The 22627-nt window shown below is 39.7% G+C and overlaps 1 protein-coding gene and 1 long non-coding RNA gene across 6 annotated transcripts in view; one reads left to right on the top strand and one right to left on the bottom strand.

The window, feature by feature from the left end:
- The window catches only part of UNC13C (unc-13 homolog C), a 795839-nt gene that overhangs the window by 708227 nt on the left and 64985 nt on the right, over positions 1-22627 (bottom strand). The window contains exons 4-6 of one of the 4 annotated variants that reach the window (XM_047432538.1): positions 14062-14243; positions 7759-12047; positions 6920-7021 (exon numbers count right to left, since the gene is read on the bottom strand). The exons of 1 other annotated variant lie outside the window; for it this stretch is intronic. The gene's annotated coding sequence lies outside the window, so the exon portion shown is untranslated. The remainder of the gene's footprint in view (positions 1-6919; positions 7022-7758; positions 12048-14061; positions 14244-22627) is intronic. 2 more of the 4 variants (XM_017022220.2, XM_017022221.2) reach the window with 2 other exon arrangements.
- LOC105370827 (uncharacterized) lies at positions 13637-22326 on the top strand. Of its 2 annotated transcripts, none has more exons than XR_932272.3 (3): positions 13637-14323; positions 16466-16604; positions 22170-22326. It is a non-coding gene; the product is annotated as an uncharacterized LOC105370827 (long non-coding RNA). The 2 variants fall into 2 exon arrangements; XR_932274.3 differs by having other exon boundaries at positions 14100-14323; positions 16470-16604.

The raw sequence follows: 22627 nt of genomic DNA, 5'->3' as shown, positions 1-22627 counted from the left end.
TCATGTAATTACTGTAAAAATCCATGAACATCCCAGTCACATCAGCTGGTTACATTTATTCCCTCCATTAAAGACACAAAATAATGTAAACAGATTCCCCTTTTTCTGTGACATTCCCCATGAAACTAAGTGCTGTTTTCTCTTTATAAGAACCATTGACTGAAACAAACTTCTGATTCAATATCTGGCCCATAACAGCTGTGAAAGCACAATTTTCTATTGATAGCTTAAATCCCATCTCACCTTGAGAATCTTAGTTATAGGCAGGCTAGAAAACACGTATAACCATATAACCCTAAACACATAGTTTATAAACAACATTCCATCTTAAAGGGAAAACATTAATTTTTGGTATCAACAGAATTTATTTGTGCTTTAAAAAGTAAATTTTGATTGTGATAAGAATTGGTGTTTGAATTTTGTGTTCAAAATGATTCAGTGTTCAAAAGTCTTTGATTTTAGTCAAATGAAATATAGGCTTTCTTTGGGATTAGGAAAGGATACCTCTTGCTTTTAGCTTTTCTAACTAAAAGCCAGTTTGTATGGCATATCAAGTCACTGTAATTTTCTGAGTAAATTACATAATTATTTAGGTTAAACAAAGCACAAGATAATCAGCATTGTTGTTATTACACAAAACTAAAATTTATCCTTACTACAGGCTAAAAATACAGTGCACCCTCTCACTATTTCCTTAATTTGCTCTGTCATTATTTCCTTAATTCATAAAAATATAAATGGAAAAGGTTAATATTTTACACTTATAAACATTTAGCTATTTATTTCCTAAGTTGAGCTTCACAACAATTTCATGAAAGAAAAGGGAAAGCATCATTCCTCCCTTTTTACAAATGAAGAGCTGAATCTCAAAAAGATTACGAGGTTTCTGCAAGGTCACACAGCTGGTAAATGGCAACACCGGAAACAAATCTAGTCTATTAGCACTGAACTGTGCCGTGCTATCTCTTTTTTTGTTTTTGTTTTTTGTTTGTTTGTTTTGTTTTTTTGAGATAAAGTCTCACTCTGTTGCCCAGGTTGGAGTGCAATGGTGTGATCTCGGCTCACTGCAACCTCCGTCTCCTGGGTTCAAGCGATACTCCTGTGTCAGCCTCCCAAGTAGCTGGGATTACAGGCGCCCACCACTACACCCGGCTAATTTTTTTGTGTGTTTTTAGTAGAGATGGGGTTTCACCATGTTAGGCTGGTCCCGAACTCCCGACCTCAGGTGATCTGCCTTCCTCAGCCTCCCAAAGTGCTGGGATTACAGGCGCGAGCCACCGCGCCCAGCCCGTGCTGTCTCTCTTGAATAACCTTTGCCCTTACCTGGATTAATCAACTTAGAACCTAAATTGCTATTGGTTGCTCATCTGCGGTGAATTAACTCTAGCTCCATCTATCCAAATGTGCTAAGCGTGGGAGGAAAGTGCCTGAGAAGCAGCCTTGGAGCACTTACAAACAGAGATGATTCTTAAGGTGTTAGTTCCATTCCAAGGAAGAAGCACACTCTCTCCCAATATCCCATGCTCTCTGTGCACTCATCTCTTTCCAACTGAATCCTACTCTCTGCAGCTCTAAATAAATGATTTCCACCAGAAAACAATGTGAGCTCTGTAGAGACAGCTAATATTGAAGGAAGATGCAATGTATGGGTTGCAGGGCTGCTTTTAGAGGATGGCTCAAGGGTCATAGGGGAAGTATCCTTCAAGTTATCAAGGCTGTTGGTTAGTCAAGTTATCACAATCCTCTTCATTATTGTTTCTACCATAAATGTATCCTTCTATCATGGAAGAATCTGTAAATTGTTCTGTCTACTACATTCACTGACAGATACACAGAGACTTAATAAATTTTTCTAGAGTCTTTTTTCATCCAGTAAATAATTATTGGGCATCTATTATATGCCAGGCAGTAGTCTGGATTCTGAGGCTACGTCAGTCTTGTATACATCACAAAAATAATCACATTACCTTTTGGTGAGTGGTATAGCTAAGGGCTTTAGATGTGATTGTTTCCACCTGGGTGAATGGGACAGCTTTGCAGAAATTATGTCATTTGATCTGAATCTTACAGATTAAGCAGTAGTTCAGCAACAAGGAATGGAAAGGGTAGTATTTTATTCCTCTTGAAATTAACAAACATATAAATGCAAATGAATACATTAATTCCCATGGGAGGTCTCTACAAACCTGAGACTGAAATATTTTAATAGAAAGCCTCTAGAACAATGTATAGAGTGGCTTAGTAAACAAGAACTACTGATCACCTTATGCATTTCACCATTAATAATCGCTTCTGGTAAGTAATGAATACTTATATTCTCAAAATATTTTGAGCAAAAAAGTTCTCAGCTATAGCCTAGTTCAATCCAACTTTTCTGGTAAGACACAGAAAGATTAAATGTCTTATTTAAAAATCACAGTTAATCACTGAAATTAAAAATACTGCAAATAAAAGTTTCTGACATCCCATTGTTTCTTTCTTCAATATTGCATGCTCTGTTGATGTAAGTCAATAGTTTATGGTTAGCGACGTCCTCTGTAATACGTAAGCATGGTACTCTGAGGTCAGAGGTTTAGGTTAATAAAACACAAGAGGGTTGTTATTTATTTTCTGCTTAATATAAAAAGGAATAAAGAACCTGAGGCAGGAAAAGAAATTCCAAAGGTAAGGGACAAGAATGGAGGTAAGTACGAAAGACCAAGAGCCAGGAAAGCTGGATTTGATTGTGATTCATTCTTGTTAAGTGGTCTTGAATTAGCCATTTGCCCCCATTGGCTTCCGTTTCTTCATTTGTAAAATTAAGTCAATAATACCTGGCCATTCATTTGTAAGTCTCTCAGTTTATAAGTGAATATGTGTTGGATTTCAAAAACTATTAATATCGATTAAACATCTTCTGGGAACCTTTTTCATATATGCCCTCTGTTATAACTTGAGCCAGATTGACACAATTGGTATTAGAATGAGGAGACTGTGTTGCAGAGAATTTATTTGACTTTCCAACAGTCACTTAGCTAGTGGGTTACAAGGCTACAGTTTGAACACAGCTCGCAAACCCATTGCTTTTTAAAAACCAGTAATACCACTACTTATTCACTTTATCATGGTATTTAAATTTCAAGCATGACCAAATAAACACATGCTTATGCTTACAAACATAAATGCTACTGAAACAAAAGTTTCAGAAAACATTATTCATACTGCATTTCAATATATTATACTTTTGAAATCCTAGTCACAATCCCCTAAACTGATTTTGTAACCAACTAACTCACAAGTCGCAGTTAGAAAATAGTCTTAGATTACATGACACACATGCTTTTTTCATTAAAAACCCCATTTAAATGAAATGACCCTTAAAGTCCATTCCGGTTCTAAAACTGGACATTTAATACAGTAAGTAAACATGAAGATGCTTTAGAAAATTTAAAGTGCTATATAAATGTGAGGTGGCCGTAACACACCCATTTATCACATGTGAGCATCTATATGGACCCAAAGCACTGCAAACTCCACTCATCACTATCTCCATGCCAGAGGGTAAGGGCAGGCATTTTGAGTCTTTAACAGCTCAAGAAAGACTGTCATAAATAGCTGTAATTTGTCCTGACATTTAGAAAGTTGATATCCCAGTGAAGAAGTTATTAGATTGGAGAACTCTGAGAATAAGAGATGCTTACGCAATTTGACTTCCTTTCGTATGCAATATATAGTCTCCACAGAGAATTGGCCAACTTTAATGTCAACCAGAATGTTTATATTCACTCAGAGATCATCTTGACAATGAAATGTCTTTTACTGACATAAAGTTACAGATGTGAATTTCCTTTTAAAAAAGAGCTATATAATAATATGGCAGCTTTTTCTTATTATAAATGGAATATTCTAATAAGCATAAATAGCCCACAAAGCAACTTTGAAGGCCTTTTTATTAGAACCAGTTTTTATAGTAGCTGAGAAGTTCGCAGAGTAAAAACAATAAAGACATTGATTCAATTCTCCCATACACATTTAGAGTAAATATTCTAGAGCAATGTTCTTTCCTGTCATAGAAAAAAGATGCCTCAATGTCTGTGCCCCACCTACCATAGCATGGTTTTCTTGTCTGCAATGAGCCTTTCCCCTCCTACCACAGGGCTAGCTCAGATGCTCTCCCCACTGCCTAGAAAACACCTAGCACCCTACTTTAACTCCTGCTCATCCTTGAAAACTCATTTCAAATATTACTCCCTCTAGCCTCTTCCCTTGGTCACTCCCATAGTTAAACTTTCATGGCACATGCACCTCTTATTGTTGTGGCTATTAATAGAAGTGTGATTTATTATTTATTTGTCCAATTATTTGATTAAAATGACTCCCATACTAGATTCAAACTCTAAGAGGACAAGAACTGTGTCTTTTTGGTCACTGTTCTACCCTCAGGGCCTAATAGAGCACCTGTAACATGCAAAATACTAAGTTAATGTTTTTTGAGAAAATAAATGGTTCTCTTATGGAGAAGACTCCATCCACTCTCAGTTGCTATGCTTCGTAACCTCCTCCAAATGCTACATCTTTATTCTTTGAAGGCCTTCTACACCAAGGAGCTAATGTTTTATGAGAATAAAATAATCAAGTTAGCAATTATAAATATAATTTTGCTTTTTATTTATTATTATTTTTGAGACAGTTTCACTCTTGTCACCCAGGCTGGAGTGCAGTGTGGTAATCTCAGCTCACTGCAGTCTCTGCCTCCCGGTCCAAGCAGTTTTCCTGCCTCAGCCTGCCAAGTAGCTGAGATTACAGGCACACACCACCACACCCAGCTAATTTTTGTATTTTTAGTAGAGACAGGGTTTCATCATGTTGGTCAGGCTGGTCTTGAACTCCTGACCAGCCTCCCAAAGTGCTGAAATTACAGGTGTGAGCCACCCTGCCTGGCCTAATTCTGCTTTTTTAAGTTGATGACTAAAGAAAGAATCCAAGAGAAAGGGAAAGAGGTTTTGTGTGAAGTTATATGCTGTAGCGTTATCTTAACAATATTATAGAAACAACCTTAATATCCAACAAGAAGGAAGTGGTAAAACAAGGTACATCCATTCAATAGAGTGTTATCTATACATTGAAATGATTAATTATGAACATTATCTTTTAAAAAGAAAAATATTCATAGTAAATTAGGCTAACAAGGACAAAAGACCAAATTATATAGCTGTCTTCTAATATACAAAGCATACATTAATCTAAAAAGATGGATTGGAAAAAAAAAACATGGATAGGAAAAGCAACTTGATATGGGAGTGTGATAATTAATATTTTAATTTTATTTTTGTTGTGATATTACTTGTATCAAGAGAATCATTTAAAAATATACATAAATACTCAAGAGTCTGACTGTAAAATATTTTTAACCAAAACTTTAGATACCTACTTTGAGAATCCTATAGCATGTTATATGTTGTATATTTTCCAGTGTAAAGAACAATTGGGTCATGCCTTTGAATGAAGACTGTGAGTACCAACAGACTCTCAATCTCATTCTTGGTAACTCTATGATTTATGGCTATTGAATATACCTAAATACAATCCAAAATTAACATTGTTCCAAAAAAAAGATTGTGTCAGCTCCTTGGAATATTACAGCGTGCTTTCAGTCACATGGTGGTAATGGAGATGGACACGTGCTGGTGTGGAATATAGATGAACTTAGTTGCATTCTGTTTAGAAATCAACACCTGAGCAGCTCCAAGAATTTGTCCTCTGAGAATTCCTCCCTGATTCCAATTAGGAAGTTAATTCATTACTCAACCAGGTGAGCTCTACCCTAAGAGCGCTGATTCACTGAGGCACACATGGTCACCTAGGACAAGTAAGTTCTTCTGTTATTCATGCCAATAACTGATGTTCGTTTTTGATGTGCCAGACACATCACTGAGCATACCAATATTTCATCCTCACAACAACCCTACGGATTAGGCATTATGATTAACCCCCACTTTTTAATTAAAGTAGTTGAGACACCATAATTATTACGTAACCTGCCCAAGCTCACACAGCTAGTAGGTGTTCTAAGTCAGAAACTAGACCTAGAACCCACATATTTAAGCATTACTCTGCAGTACTATGAAAATGTGAGTCTGCAAAACTTAAGAAAAAAAATTGGCGAGTTAGGAAATAATTGGTTCAATCCTATATTGTTAAATTCACATTAAGTATAGAGCTTCCTATACTTCATATATCATCAGAAACAAACTAAAATAGGAGAAAGAAATCCCACATTCACTTCTGCCTGCTGCAGAGCCATGAAAGCATATATGCTGTGACTGTCGAAAAATTGCTCGTCTCATCATTTTCAAAAGTACTTTGAAGCTCTGTGCAATGGCCCAAACATATTCACAAGCCCATGACTTATAGTACCAGATAAATCCCATGGTGTGGGGGAGAGAGGCTCTCTGATGACAGGCACTTCCAGGAAGAAGCATCCGGCTTCAGAATCCTCACTTTACCACTTGTCTTTGCCTTGGAAAACAGCCCATTTCTGAGTCCCTGTGGGACCCAGCAGTCACCAGGCAATGGGAGTGCAGTCTCCACTATCCTTAGACAATGTGTAATATCAGCTACAAGAACGGGGACAGTCCCTGTGCTCAGCACTGCCTTGGCTGTCACAGCCAGGGACAGACTTTAAAATGACTCAATAGTGAGACATAAAAATATCAAGGTCATGGACTGATGCTGCGTCTGAGGGAGTGGGAGACTTTGTAAACTATGAAAGGTTGAAGGTTAAATTACTACTATTTTTCACCTTTGTCCCAACCAAAGAGACTGTTAACAAGCTGTTAGTAAGCATGACTTGTGATAAGAGAGTGAGAAAAAAAAAATCTGAGTAGGAAATAAACAATTTGTTGACAACAGGAAGAAAACTGGGCTCGAGGCCAAATACCTGCTCATCTCCCTGGAGCTGCAGCTTAGCCTGTGAGAGCAGCACACTCAGGGGCTGAAGACTCCACGGATTTGCGTCCCTGTTGCTTCTGCGATGGAGTGGCTTTCAAAAGCGAAAACAAAACGCAGGGGAAGAAAGGGTTGAAAGTGAACAGCCAATCATTCTCACGAAAACAAAATTTTAAAACAATCCACATTTTAAGCAAATAAAATTCTGGCAGGAGATTCTTGGGCAGAGAATTTATTATACAAGCATTCTCAATCAACTTCTTTTGTTCCAACTGCTACCCCCCGTGCCCGGCCCAAAGAATGTCTTACTTTCCTTAAAACATGCTAAACTCAACATTATTGAGCAGAAACCTTTTCAATCTTTATCTTAGCTAAGACAGGTGACTGTGCTTTAAGTTACTAAAAATTTAGGAAGGGCAAAAAAAGAAAATGACAATAAAATAAAAAGTGCCGTTTCTCAAAATCAATGAAAGTGACAAAGAATTTTACATAGTCTCAAATCCTGTTGTCCTAACCCTAAAATACTGGTTTTACTTTGAACATTCCTTGCCCATCCAGTTTGTTACTTTCTAGGGAAAGTATGACAGATAACTAAAATGTCTGCGTGTGGTGAGTGGAGTGGGGAAAGAGAGGAGGAGATAGAAAAGAGGCCCTTTGTGTCACATTTTTGTCCAAGGTCTGAATTACCACTGAGTTATGCTACTCTAAATCCAAAATTTTCACCAGGAGAGTTTTGAAGTGCTCATTTCCCTGGATCTCCACCAGTATCAAGCCTGTGTTCAGGCAAATGACAATCAACGATCACTTGTTACCTAAGAACTAGGTACTCACTTTTAGGAGTTCCTTCTGGAGCCAGTAAGAGAACTCAACTTTCTTTTTTCCTTTTCTTTTTTTCGGGAGCCTAGTTCTTTCTCACTTTGTTCAGGTTTCCAGTCTTAAAAGCTGTGTCAGCTAGAAAGAAGGTGTTTGATACTATGAGACTAGCTACTCCTGATGCAGGTTTCAGCTGCACCCAACTGTTAAAGAATGCTGGGAGGTTTATTCATCAGGTGAAATCACTTCTTCCATTCTGGAAGTGAGCTCACAAAAGTCACTCCCTGCTGTTATAACCCATAGTGATAGTGTGGGGAAGAACAAGATTATTTCACAAAATTCTCACATTATGTCTATTTAAATGTTAAACAAATTCACCAGGATTGGACTGTCATAAACATAAATAAATAAGCAAAGAAGAAATTAATGTGCCATTACTGATGCTGTGCTTAATTTCAAATCATAGTCTGGTCATCTGATTCTTTTATGCCAATATTTAACTATATTCAAAGAACCTGTAACATTGTTTCCCAGAGTATAATCTGTAAACGACCTGCCTCAAAAACCCAAGATGCTTGCTGAGAATATAGACTCTGACAGCATCCCAGCTTCAGTGCATCAGAAACTGTAGTGGTGGGATCCGATCCGGGAATACATAGTTTCTTTATAAGCTTCCTGATGTTTCTTAAGCATGCTGATGTGTGATTGTTCTCAAACCTTTCTAAAGTGCATGAGAATCACTTTGAAACATTTAAAATGCACATCCTCAGGGACTGGGATTCAGTATTTCTGAGTTAAGCCCAGCAATCCACATTTTTAGAAAGAACTCTGGTAGTTCTGAAATAGGAGCACACTTTTAGCCACACTGCATAGAGCTTCTAGGTGCTCGACGATGCAAGCAGCTCTACTTCCCAACTCTTCACTACTGCTATGTCTCAGTTTTCTTTCAACTTACAAGTCCTGGCCTTTCCCATTCTCTCTCTGGTTTGTTTCTCAGGGCTGCTTCCCCTCATCCTTTCCATTCCAGGTCAGCCTTCTCTATTGATTCAAATGCACAAGGAAGCTTCATTAAGAGTAAAGATATTTCAGTGAATATGCAGCTACAGTAGAGATAAATCACAAATAGAATTCTCATTGTTCAGGATGTCCTTCTCAAATGGATCATGTTGGACTACTTCCTATTGACCTGAAAATCTTGCCACTAGACCCTAAGACTTGGATTATAGTTACAGGGCTCAGTCCCCATAGTCTGCCTTTCAAGTTTAGGTATAGCTAATACGTTAATTTGTACTACAGGCAATTGTGGGATCCAAGCTCTTCTATTACCATTCTTCGAACTCTGTCTAGTCTCCCAGTCCACCACAGTAATTTATGTCCAATTTCCCATTTTTAAACAGTTTTAAACCCTTATTTTACAGTTTTATTTCAAAAATACAGGAAATTTAACACTATAACAGAAACTTGGGGGATAAAGAAAATTAGGGAAAAATTACAAAAGAACCCTAAGTAATGCATTTATTTTCATTTTACAGACAAGGAACCTAAAGAGCAATGAATATCATCCCACAAGTACTTTTCCATGCATCTATATGTACCTTAATTCATATGCATAGATTTCAACCATGGTTTTGTATGTGATGTTTTCCCTAATAGTCATCAATCCATCTCTCCACTTATTGAGTCATCTGACAAATATTTATTTTTGCACTACAATGCAACAACTTTGGTTTATAGACTTTTAAAATGTTTGCTGATATGCTAAGCAAAATATGATACAACATTGTTTAATTCATTTTTTCTTTCTAGTAAAGCTGAACTTGTTTTAAAAATATTTACTAATCATATTCTATCACTTTTGAGGTATCCCTTAAATATTTTGCCTATTTGCCATTTGTGTTTTGAGTCCTTTGTGACTTTTTATTTATATGAAAACATTACGTATTACAAACATCTATCCTTCATTGGTCATAAGTGCTGTAATACTAATTAATTAACTAAGCTACTACAATTTGAGGTAAGGTTCATAATTGTCTTCCTCACAGGTTCTCTTTAGGCCTCTGTAATACCTGAGACACTGTCTTCTCTACAGCCCGGTTGTTATATTGCCCTTTTATTTGTTATTTTTTAAGTTTTCATTTAAAAGATTCTCTTTTTAATCTATTCCAAAGTGTTGGAAGCTGACCTATACAAGTTCCTTCCACCCACTCTTCCAGTACAGTTTTCTGAGGACACATAGGACATATTTTTTTAAACAGAAAAACAAAAAGTGGACCTTCTACTGAAACCAGGTAGGACCAGAGTCAGCTCCACAGGCCCCTGTGGCAGTTTTGCCAAAGCAGGCCTTATGGAGTGAGTGTGTGAAGTCAGGGGAATTGAACCCTCCCTCCTGTGAGGAAAGGGCTGAGTCAACTCATGTTCTCTTTAGTGAAATAATTCAAATTCAGTTGGGAAAGCCTCCATTATGACATTCCCCGGCACCCTTCTTATACTTTAGGTATTGAAGGCAGCTCCCTCCTTTATGGTTGGTTTTAGTAGACAAAGAAACAAAGGAATACAGTATATACATAATATATATGTATACATACACACACATATTTAGGGGGAGGGAAAGGAGAGGAGGGTCATATAAACCTAAAACAGTTATCACATATCTCATTACCGCCAAATGAGCCTGTATCAGGTTCACGACTATGCCAAAGGTCATGATGAGGTCTGGAGGGAGTGGGTGGGCAAGCAGAAAGAACACTCGGGGGGCCGTAGGCAGGTGAAAGATGATTTTATTCAGCAGCACTTCTCATCAACAGCTTTCTCACGCTAGCTCTCTACACTGTTCGCCTGTGTCTCGGCTGTCTGCTCCCGCTCTGTGGCCCCTGCTGCCCCGACACCTGCAGCTGTATGGCCTGCTCTCCCTTGGCCTCAGGGTCAACAGCTTAACTCTTTCTCTGGGCACAAGCAATCCAAGCTGTATCCTGGCTCCCCAGGGAGCATCTGCAAATATGGACAGCCCTGACTCTCTCTTTCTGTGGACGCCAGCACGCCCGCCATGTCAAGCCATGTTGAGCTGAGCCGAGCCCCAAGAGCCATGTCTCTTGTGCACAGTGTCGACAGGGCAGTTCTACCTTTTACAGCAATAGTGGCTCAGAGCCAAGTATGAACTTACACAAACAAGTTATATAACAAGTGGAGGTGCACACTCACGCACCAAACTCGCTTGGATATCCACCTTGGCCTATTCCTTGACCAAAGCACATCCATGTACCTTACACTCCACCCCCTAGGCTGAGGGAAACATAGGCCCTGGACACACAGGTTTTATACACAGGTTTGGCACACAGGCCTGGCATATAAGCTTTGGGCACACAGGCCTGATACATACACATAGGCTTCTGGGCACATAGGCCTGACACATAAGCCTTATACATAGGCTCTGGGCACACAAGCCCATCACATACATAAGCTTCAATAAACTGCTCGGCTGTTGGCACAGATTACCATAGGTGTTGCAACATTGGTGATTACTGTTCACATTGCCCTGAGTGCAGCTCATTAGCTACTTTGCCTACACCTGGTTTTAACCCATATGGTGTTAGTACTAGGCTGGACTGTGGCAGCAATCCAGGCAGCAGTAGCTCCCTGCCTACACATATCTGTGTACCAAGCCCTATTAGGAATGGGAGAATGCCCTTCCTAATGATGAAGGCTTAGGGTTTAGGGGTGCCTCAGGCCCCATGGCCTTACTTGGCATTAGGACTACAGGTCCCAAGACTTCCTGTAACTCTACTGCTAAGGGACTTGTAATCAGTGTACTTTACTGCTGTAAGTAGGCTCCCCACTTTGCTAAAGTGGATGTCTGTGCTGTCCCAGTCGATGGGGTCATTACCCACGAGTGTACCCACCCCACTGTTGGGAAAGTTGTCTGCCTGATGATTGTAGCCATTCCTGCCATGCTCTTATGAGCCTGAAGGGCAGTATATACAGTTACTAACTGCTTTCCCTGTCCAGGGGGTGGTTATCCATGAACACACCCATCCTATTATTACTAACTGCTTCTGTATCAAGGAATACTGGAGCTCAGCTCCCTTGCATAATTGGGACCAAAAGCCTACTGGCATACTCAGGCACTCATGCACTGCCATAGGCCCTAACTGAAACTATCTGTGGTCACATGCACATCTAGCTTAAATGGGCACCTCTGGTCAACTACCCATAGGGCTTGTGCTTGCTGAATAGCCTACTTGGCTACCAGGAAGGCTGTCTCAGCTGCATCATCCCAATCCCAGGCAAGAAGGGCATTGCTGCTTCTAAACCTGCAAGAGAATCAGAAGTGAATATAACATTATTAACAAGACCATGACATATGGTGGGGCTATGCATATAAGCCCTGAAGCAACACTGTGAAAGTCCGTCGTCACCCTCCCATGAAGGCAAACTGTTCCTGGCTCTCTGGAGCAATGTCAATGGAGAAGAATGCATTAGCCAAGTCCCATCACAAAGTGGTACTGTCCCAGTTCCATTGTCAAACAGCCATCAAGTCTATGATGGAAGGTCCAGCTGCATGCAGAGGGGATGTTGCTTTATTCAGTTCCTGATAATCCACTGTCATCTGCCAAGTTCCATCAGGCTTTTTGACTGGTTATACTAGAGAATCATAGGGGTTATGGGTGCACCTCCTCTAACTTCTTATTAGTCTCAGTTATCTCTGTGTGCTCCCCCGCCGCCCCCCAGTAAACGGTATTGATGAGTGGAAGTAAGTTGTTGGGGTTGTGGCAGAACTTGGGGCTGGTGATGTGTATGGAGTACTGGCTTTACTACACGAACCAGGATTCCAAATTCTCTGGCTGTGGTGTGTAAGTCCAGATCATGCAAAATGTCCACCCCCAGAATATATTCATGTATAGGAGAAACATACAGAGTGTACAGGTGGATAGCAGAGTAGCCAATGCCAATATAGATTCACCATCACAGATTGGCCCCCATAACTGTCAATGAATGCAGCTTTTCCCAGAAACTTATCCAGGTTCCCATAAACTAGACTGCAGTCTGCACCAGTGTCTACCAGTGCTAGGGCCCGCTGTACATTAGTAGGGGACCAGAGGATTGCCAGCTCCTCATATAGCCTCCAGTTGTCCAGTTCCCCTGAGTTGGGCAACTCAGCCAGTTCCCTAATCAAACAGGAAAGGCCTAATGTCTTCTCCCATCTGCAAATAGTCCTTGAGCTGAAAAGTTTCCAGGTGGGGCTGGGTTGAACAACATTGTCTTGCCCCTCCTTGGGCATTCTTCAGAATTGCAGCTCTGGGGACGATTGCCTCCACAGAGCCAACAGCATTCCATTGGGTTGCCTGTCAATTTTCTCTCTAGTAACCCCAGCTGCAAGTAAATCAATCCACATCCGCATGTGGGTCACCCGCCTGGGCCCCTTTTAATCTCGTGGATGGTTACTTGTGAAGGGTGCACCTTCCATTTCTTTACGGCGTGGACTCCCAGGTCCCGCCAATGGCCTTCTGCCTCCCCAAGGGCTGCCATAGCAATAGTCACTTTGTGTATGCGGTGTCCTACATACGGGGTGAGAACAGCAGCTAGAGGGCCAAAGCATCCGGGGGTGCTGAACTCAGCACAAGATCCCTCATAGGGGAGGTAAAGCGTTCATCATCTGGCCCCAGATATTCTGATCAAACAGCCTGCTGCATATTGCATATCCGTCTCCCGGAGCACCTGCACCAAATCAGTATATGATTGCCATTTACTCACAGTTTCTGGGGTCTCTCTGGCATCATTCCAAACAGTCCGTATGGCTGCCGTCAGCCACTTGATTTACATGTAGTCACTTTGCCCTTGTGTTAACCGTTGGCACAGCTGCAGCCGCCGATGAAGGGAAGGGTGAGTTGTGATAGAAGCCAGATTCTCCATCTCAGAGGCGGAGCAAGAAATGCTATCAGCTCCTTCAGACGCTGCCAGACTGTTTACCTACTTCCCTCAAATCAGTGGGGGTATAAGCACTATAAGAGGTATGTGCCACCACTGTGAGGGGTCCTGGGATCTCGCCTGCGGTCCCATTGGCTGCTCATGTTCTACCTTCTGATGGATCACAGGGTGATCCAGCAGTGGAGGAACCTCCTCCTCAGCATCAGACTGAATCGGAGTGTCCCGCCAGGAGGATGGGCTCAAGGCCGGGCTGACAGCTGTTGCTAAATCCTGTTCCTGGCTATTTATCTGGGCCTCTAAGTGCCCTGCTTGCACCTGGAGGTCCCCCACCCCCAGGTCCTGCTCCAAGCTGTGCACTTGGGCCCCCAGGTGCTCAGCTTGTCCTGGGAGGTCCCTTACCTGTGGAACTGAGCATGTACTTCCTGCAGTGCTGTCAGAAACGCCCATCCGACGCTGCCAGCAAAGGTGCATTCCTTCTTGGTGCTGTGTGCTCGCACACTTGCAGGAGACCTCTCCACTGCCTCCCGCGTTTCCACTGGGGCTCATCCAAGCAGCACCGCTGCCCCTGGGTACAGCCCGTGCTGCAGCCACATAGCTGACCCAGGAGCCCTCAGGGGCCAAAGACCTACTCACTTCATCCTGCCAACGTCGCAATTGTCAGGTACATGACTACGCCAAAGGTCATGTTGAGGTCTGGAGGGAGTGGGTGGGTAAGCAGAAAGAACACTCGGGGGGCCGTAGGCAGGTGAAAAATGATTTTATTCAGCAGCAGCTCTCATCAACAGCTTTCTCACACTAGCTCTCTACACTGTTCGCCCGTATCTCGGCTGTCTGCTTTGGCTCTGTGGCTCCTGCTGCCCCCACACCTGCAACTGCACGGCCTGCTCTCCCTTGGCTTTAGGGTCAGCAGCTTAACTCTTTCTCTGGGCACGATCAAGCCGAGCTGTATCCTGGATCCCCTCTGTCTGCAAAGATGGAAAGCTCTGACTCTCTCTTTCTCTGGGCGCCAGCGCACCCACCATGTCAAGCCATGTTGAGCTGAGCCGAGCCCCAAGAGCCATGTCTCTTGTGCACAGTGTCAACAGGGCAGTTATACCTTTTACAGCAATAGTGGCTCAAAGCCAAATATGAACTTACAAAAACAGGTTACATAATAAGTGGAGGTGTGTGCTTGCATGCCAAACTCAGTGAGTCATGCAGGCCTGGGTATCTGCCCAGGCCTATTCCTTGACCAAATCACATCCACGTACCTCACAGCCTGACATTAACAAAAAGATAATAAAAACCTCCTGGGGGTTAAGTGACAACATGGATGTAGCAAGAAGGGAAACTGCACACATTTAAGTGTTACATATGTTTGGCAGAGTTCAGGCCAACACCTGGGTCCTGCACTTGCCAGATAAGTAGCTAAGGATACTCAAAGAAAAAAAAAAGTTTTTAATTCAAGCAGAGCTCCATACCACAGTTTTCCTTTAAGTCCTGTGGCCCGCAGGCACAGTTTCCCTACCACCAGGAACAAATACATTGGCTCCAAGGCAAATTAAAAAAAAAAAAAAAGTATTTCCACTTAAAACATGAAAATACAGAAACTTCATCAAAGAAAGAAAACTATCCAAGAAGCCTACTTCCAGCAAAACCGAGGTAACACTGCTTCCTCTGCATTCAGTGCTCAAGTGGTTCCCTGTACAATGTGTTCTTAAAAAATATGTCCACTTGACTGACAGGTGCAATATATTGATGGATAAACTCAACATGAAACGCAATAGTTCAAAGAAAGAATTAAAAAGAAGCGAGGGAAATAAGGGTTTTGGATAAATTAGCTTAAAAGGGGGTTGTCACCAGACTTAGAATACTCTTGGCTCACTGCAACCTCCACCTCCCAGGTTCAAGAAATTCTCCTGCCTCAGCCTCCCGAGTAGCTGGGACTACAGGCATGCACCACCACACCCAGCTAATATTTTTAGTAGAAACGGGGTTTCACTATGTTGGCCAGGATGCTCTCGATCTCCTGACCTCGTGATCCACCCACCTCAGCCTCCCAAAGTGTTGGGATTACAGGCGTGAGCCACCACGCCCGGCCACTGTTTCATTTTCACATTACCTTCTTGAGCCTGTCTCCTCATCCCTAAAATGTGAAGTAGGATTCTATCAGCAGGAGAATCATGTCTTGGTGCTTCAGGGGTTACACTACATTTTGATTCATATTTCATTGTTAGATATATCATTTAATATGTGCTGATATGGAATAAAATCTCCATGATAAAATGGTTAAAAAAAAGCACAGTGCAGAAAAGTGCTCTGATATTGAATTTTAAAAAGTGATACACATAAATAACTCATATATGTTGGGCATTTCTGCAAGAATAAGGAGAAAAGTAGCGATGGCGATTTTCTCTGAAGAGTAGGACTTTGGCACTCAGGAAGTGGGTCTTGGTAGTCTGCCTTTGGAGGGAAACTTAGTTTACATTGAATATACTTTTATCACTTGGATTTTTATTATGCATATAAGTTTTTGATAAAACAATATTATTTATACCACTATATAGTGCATATATATAAACAAACCACATATACAAATGTGTTTATAGATATGTTGAACCAATGATTAATAATGTTTATGTTAACAATAAAATCATCTGTAACATTCTTATAATTTTGTTAATGTGACCTAAATTAGCATGTATCATTTGTGCCATAACACTCAACTAATGCTAAATATAATTAAGTATTCTAAAACAGCAATATTTGAAAAAATGTATAAAACCAAATATTTAGATACACTTTTTTTTTTTTTTTTTTGGAGAAAGGTTCTCATTCTGTCACCCAGACTGGAGTGCAGTGGTGCAATCTCGTCTCACTGCAGCTTCAACCTCCCAATCTCAGCTGATCCTCCTTCTGCAGTCCCCCAAGCTGGGACTACAGGTGCACATCACCATGCCTGGGTTTGTATGTTTTGTGTTTGTTTGTTTGTTTGTTTGTAGAGACAAGGTTTTCCATGTTGCCCAGGCTGGTCTAGAACTTCTGGGCTTAAGTAATCTGTCCACCTCAGCCTCCTAAAGTGCTAGGATTACAGGCATGCATACTACATTTTTAACATAATGTATACTCCCCAAAGGGTTGTATCCTGCTAGCCTGACCATTTCATTTTTGTGTGTGTAAGCCCTGGAATAATGTAACTACTATTAAGTCTAAGAGTGTATGTGAACTTGTATATATGCCATTACTTAGAAACTTTACAGTATTCCCTAAGTCTTTCTTCTAAAATGCAAGTCTCTGTAAGTTTGCTAGGGTAAAAATAGGACAAACAAGAAAAGTAGGACAAAAAAAGGAGCACCCATTAAATGATAAGGACACATGCATGTTTCTGATATGCTGTGGACAATGAGTGGGCACCTAACACTGAACAGGGACAATATTTCTAAGCCCCTATTCTCCTCTTACGTTGACATTTATAAGAAATGCTAACAAGTGGTAGAATATTCAACAGCTAAAGGATAATTTTCCCACTGCCCCTCTTTCTAACTACTCAGTAATTGCAGTAAATCCTAAAACTTCAAGATACATGTATTTAAAATATTATCTATGAAAATTAGTAATTTCTAAATTCTAACTAGAATAAAACCAGAAACAAATTAAATATCAAGGGTGATGTAATCTCCAAAATGGCTCTGTTTATTATTTTGCTTTTATTTATTTTACTCATTTATTCAACAAATATTTAAGTAGCATCATTTATGTTAAGCATTGTGCTTGGAACTAGAGATATAGTAGCAATGAAGATAGATAGAGACCTTGCTCTCTGCTAAAGGAGAAATACCTGAATAATTCTTTAGATAATAATAAATGACTTTTATTTATAAAGTTCATAAGTTATATGCCAGACACTTTCATATGCATCATCTCAGTCAGTAACTATAGGAACTTTTTAATAATAGCATTATTATCTCCACATTACATATGAGGAAACTGACTCCAAAAGAGAGGTTAAGTGACTTGATCAAGGTCCTTAACAAGAAAATATAAGAGGAATACTCAATTCCTGGGGCAAATTTGAAGAAGAGCTCTTCCCATCTGGCTTTCTCCGCTATATCATACATCATCTATTCTATTAGTCTGCTCAGTGCTGATCTTCTATTACAAATATTTACTTGTATTAAAAATATTTATTTCAAAAATTAAATATATCCTTTCTTTTTGGTACATTGTGTTTTAAGAATTTACATCAACCATCAAAGAAAATAGGGAAAACCATGAAGTGAACTTCACTATATTAATACCTCTTGATATTTGGTGTTGTTTGCATAAAACAGAAATATATTCTAAGTTAAAAATAATAACATTATCATAAGGATGTTTGGTAGTTCATACACCCAAAGAAAAAGTTCAGAAACAGGCTTTGGAAGAAGCAGAAAGCAGAATAGCACTAGGGTTCTCAGTTGCAAAAAATCAACCAAACAAACAAAAACAATCTCTTCTGTGTTGATATGGTTTGGATCTGTGTCCCCACCCAACTCTCATCTTGAATTATAATCCTCATGCTATACTCCCCACGTGTCGAGAGAGGGGGGTGGTTGGATTATGAGGGTGGTTCCCCCATGCTGTTATCATGATCGTGAGTGAGTTCTCACGAGACATGATGTTTTAATAAGTGTTTGGAAGTTCTTCCTTCACTCTTCTCTCCTGCCACCATGTGAAGAAGGTCCTTGCTTCCCCTTCGCCTTCCACCATGATTATAAGTTTCTTGAGGACCTCCCCAACCAAGTGGAATTGTGAGTCATTTAAACCTCTTTGCTTTATAAATTACCCAATCTCGGGTAGTATCTTTATAGCAGTGTGAGAATGGACTAATACAGGGTACTGGGTATGGCCATCTGAAAGAATTGACAACAACCATTTTAGCCCTTGAGTCACTCCACTCAAGATTCAATTCCTGAAGGGAAAATTCAATTGTCCTGGCTGATCCCTTGGCTAGGAAAGATGGGACATCCTGACTGACAGTTCCATCTCTATGCCATGCAAAAAGGGAGACAGGGGCCATTTATTAGAAGAAAAGAAGAATAGTTGCTAGACAGATTCCTCAGATGCTACCTATGCACATATTGTTAAAGTGGATGCTGAGTGTCATAATTTTGTGGAAATCACAGGCAGGAATGCAAATAGTCCATGTTGGATTGCCAGACCTAGTGCAGTAGTTGGGATATTCATATAACTCAATTACAGAGACTTCTTTTTTTGAGACAGGGTCTTACCCAGGCTGGAGTGCAGTGGTGCAGTCACAATTCACTGCAGACTCCACCTCCCATGCTCAGATGATCCTCCCACCTCAGCCTCCCTAGTAGCTGGGACTACACGCATGCACCACCACGCCCACCTAATTTTTTGTAGGGACAAGGTTTTGTCATGTTGCCCAGGCTTGTCTTGAACTCCAGGACTCAAGGGATCCTTCCGCCTCGGCCTCCCAAAGTGCTGGGATTACAGATGTGAGCCACTGTGCCAAGCCTATTGCAGAGACTTTTAATGGACTCCCAGGGTTCCCTTAGTCTTTAAACACCTCATCCTGGCAAGAGCTTGGGATGATAGATATTTACATATTCTCTAAATTTGTATTACAGTGTCTGTTATTTCAATCTGCTTAGTATGATAAAAGTAGGGACCTGCCCTCTATTTTTTTAAGATATATGAAGTGATGTTTTGAGATACATATATGTTGTGAAATAATCACCAAAGTCAAGTTAATTAATATATCCATCACCTCACATAGTTACCTTTGTGTGTGTGGTGAGAACATTTAAGATCCACCCTCAGCAAATTTCAAGTGTAGAATGCAGTAAGCTATAGTCACCTTACTGGACATTAGAGCTCCAGAACTTACTCATCCTACACAACTAAAACTTTTTGTACTCTTTGACCAACATCTCCCCACTTCCCCCAACCCCCAGTCTCTGACAACCACCATTCTACTCCCTGATTTTATGAGTTATATTTTTTTAGATTCTACATATGAATGAGACCATGCAGTATTTGTCTTTCTTTGCCTGGCTTATCTCATTTGGCGTAATGTCTTCCAGGTTCATTCATGTTCAGGATTTTCTTTATTTTTAGACCAAACAATATTCCATTGTGTGTGTGTGTGTGTGTGTGTGTGTGTGTGTATAAAGTAATATAATATAAATGTAATATATATGATGTAATATATATATAAAGATGAAATCTTATACATTCATCTGCCAAAGGACACTTAAGACACTTAGATTGTTTCTATATCTTGGCTATTGTGAATAACACTGCAATGAACATGAGAGTAGAGATAGCTCTGTGAGATACTGTTTTCATTTCCTTTGACTATACCTGTAGTGGGATTGCTGGATCATATGGTAGTTCTGCTTTTAATTTTTTTAGGAACCTTCATACTGTTTTCCGTGATAGTTACACTACATGCCTTCTATATTTTAAAACCTAAACTTAAGCAGAGTTTCGTGTGTTATGCATTCATTGTCCCACAAATATAAGTCATATCTGCTTGTGATTTTCTGTCTATGCATGCCTCAATTCCAAGGCCCTTGGAATGTCTATTTTCCTTAGAGAGATTTAAAAAACATATCCAACACTTACTATGTACTGTTACAGTTCTTATTCACTTGTCTCATCAATCCACAACATCTCTAGGTTGGAACTAATATTATAACTATTCTTCAGATGAATAAAATGAGGCATCATAAAGGCTAAGTAACTTGCCCAAGGTATCATAACTAATTAATGGTAGAGCCAGGGTATAAACACAGAAGCTGATTCCAAAATGTATGCTCATGCCCATGAAAACGTGGAGTCTTTTCTCAATGATCTGATTTGAGGTTGATGAAAATAACATTTTATTCAAGAAACAAAGCTTGAGATGTCAACATTTTAAGGTTTTCCTATAAGGTTCAGAATATCGTACTTTGTATGTTTGGAATTTTCCAAAATAGAATATTACTTTGTGAAAGTAATATGATGATATCCCTCATGACCTGGAGGCAAACAGAAAAGAGTTACTTCGGCAAACACTAAAACAATGGTTTTTTTCATTTTTAATGAAATTATTTTTATGATGATATCTTCTATTTGTACAGGGCAAGGGCGCAGTGCATATAGATAGAAATGTAAATGAGATTTATTTTTTCTTTATAATATTTGTATTACAAATTAGTATGCTTTATAATGTACATTTATGTATATAAATTATTTTGGATATAACAAATGTTTTATCACTTGAGTAAAAAATGAGTAAAGTTAAAATCCCATAAATTCCTCAAATGCTACTTAAAGAAATTATTTGATAAATATGGTACTATTCTGAAATGGAAACTGAACCAAGAGAGTCTACCATCTCAGCAGGAAGGTTCAGTTTTCCCCAACCAAAGAGTTTCCTTATTGAACATCCAACAAGATTAAAAATCATAATTCTAAGCCTTGCATTTGGCCAGGTAAACTAGTCAATCAATAAGCCAGCCAACCAATTAAAAATTATTAGGTGTGTGTGATATTCATATTAAAGAGCCACTGAAGTTCAAGTTTTTTGACCTTCTATGTCCCTGCACAATGTCACTGTACTTCATATCATAATTCCTTTTAATATTCTTCCAAGATCTAAATACTAATTGCTCTCTATCTCAGATGGAAATTTCAATATCTTCCTTTATATTCACTATTCCACAACACCAATGTAGCTATGTAGCTGTCAGAAATTTTTTCAGTCATTAAGTAACTTCTCATTCACAGCAAATTAGGTTATACATATGGCTTTTTGTCCAACCTAGACTTGAACACAGCCCTTCGACCTCCAATTTTCCGAGAAGATACTGTCTACTGCCTGCTTTCCTTATCCTACTTTCAGGCTTCAGAACATTGTCAGAGTAGGTCTTGAACAGTCGTGTCACTGATCTGATCATTGTGAACACCTTGGAGATTATGGGAATTCTCGCTCTGTTGATTTGGCTGAGGGCAATGGTAGTGAAAAAGGACAAAATGATCTAATTGGCCTTGTGGCCATCCAGTTCCACATGGAGATATTGTCACAATCTTAAATTAGTGAAGAGGGCTTTGATTGGATTTGTGTTGCTCTGGTTGGATTTCAAATTCAGGAAACTTAATTAGAATGGAAATCATTTTCTCTTGAGAGATTAAACCCTGAAATATTTCAAATGACATTTGATGGATGTGCTTCTGATTTATTTTGATAGGCTCCATCAAGGAATCATGTTATGTCGATCAATATGTCTGAGCCCTTTTATTTACACCAGGAAATTGTAATATGTTACATCTTCTGGGATCAAGCCAATCTTGAAATCTGAGATGATCTGATGTTATGCAGTCTGCATTAGCTTTGCAGTTCCAATATGGAGACAAATATCTATATGTCACCATAATGTATTTGAATTTTTAATGACTATTTTATCCTCTGTGTTGGAGAATATGTTTTAGACAAGCAAATAATTACATTGGCATTATCTTGTCTTTATTTCAAACAGGATCAAAATCCAAATTGACTGTATGATCATCACTGGCATCTTCCAAAGTTGCTTTCATCAGAAACTATGTCCCAGCATTCCAGCCCCACCACTGTCCCTACCAACCCTTTGAAGCTTCTACTTCTCAATTTTTCCTCCATCTGGTCTATCACCCATTCTTTTGCCATTATTTTCTGCCTTCATACCTTGTATTATTGCAAAATTAATTTCACTGGCCTTTTTGCTATTGTTGATATCAGAATCCATTTGATGCAGTACTCACCAAGCATTTTGAGCCCCCTAAACCTTCTGAAGACCCCTTACCAATCTGTTTCTGTATTGGCTTCTATCATTCCAAATTTTTTGCTTCTGTTGGTACTGACAATGAATTATATACCCCCTTATGCACTATATTCCCACTGCCTTGCATGTAGAAAGTGTTTAATATGAGTTAATTAAATAAGTTATTGAATAAAGCA

Source organism: Homo sapiens, chromosome 15 (assembly GCF_000001405.40).
Source record: "Homo sapiens chromosome 15, GRCh38.p14 Primary Assembly".
NCBI classification, from domain to species: Eukaryota; Metazoa; Chordata; class Mammalia; order Primates; family Hominidae; genus Homo; species Homo sapiens.
This window is presented reverse-complemented; position numbering and strand designations above follow the sequence as displayed.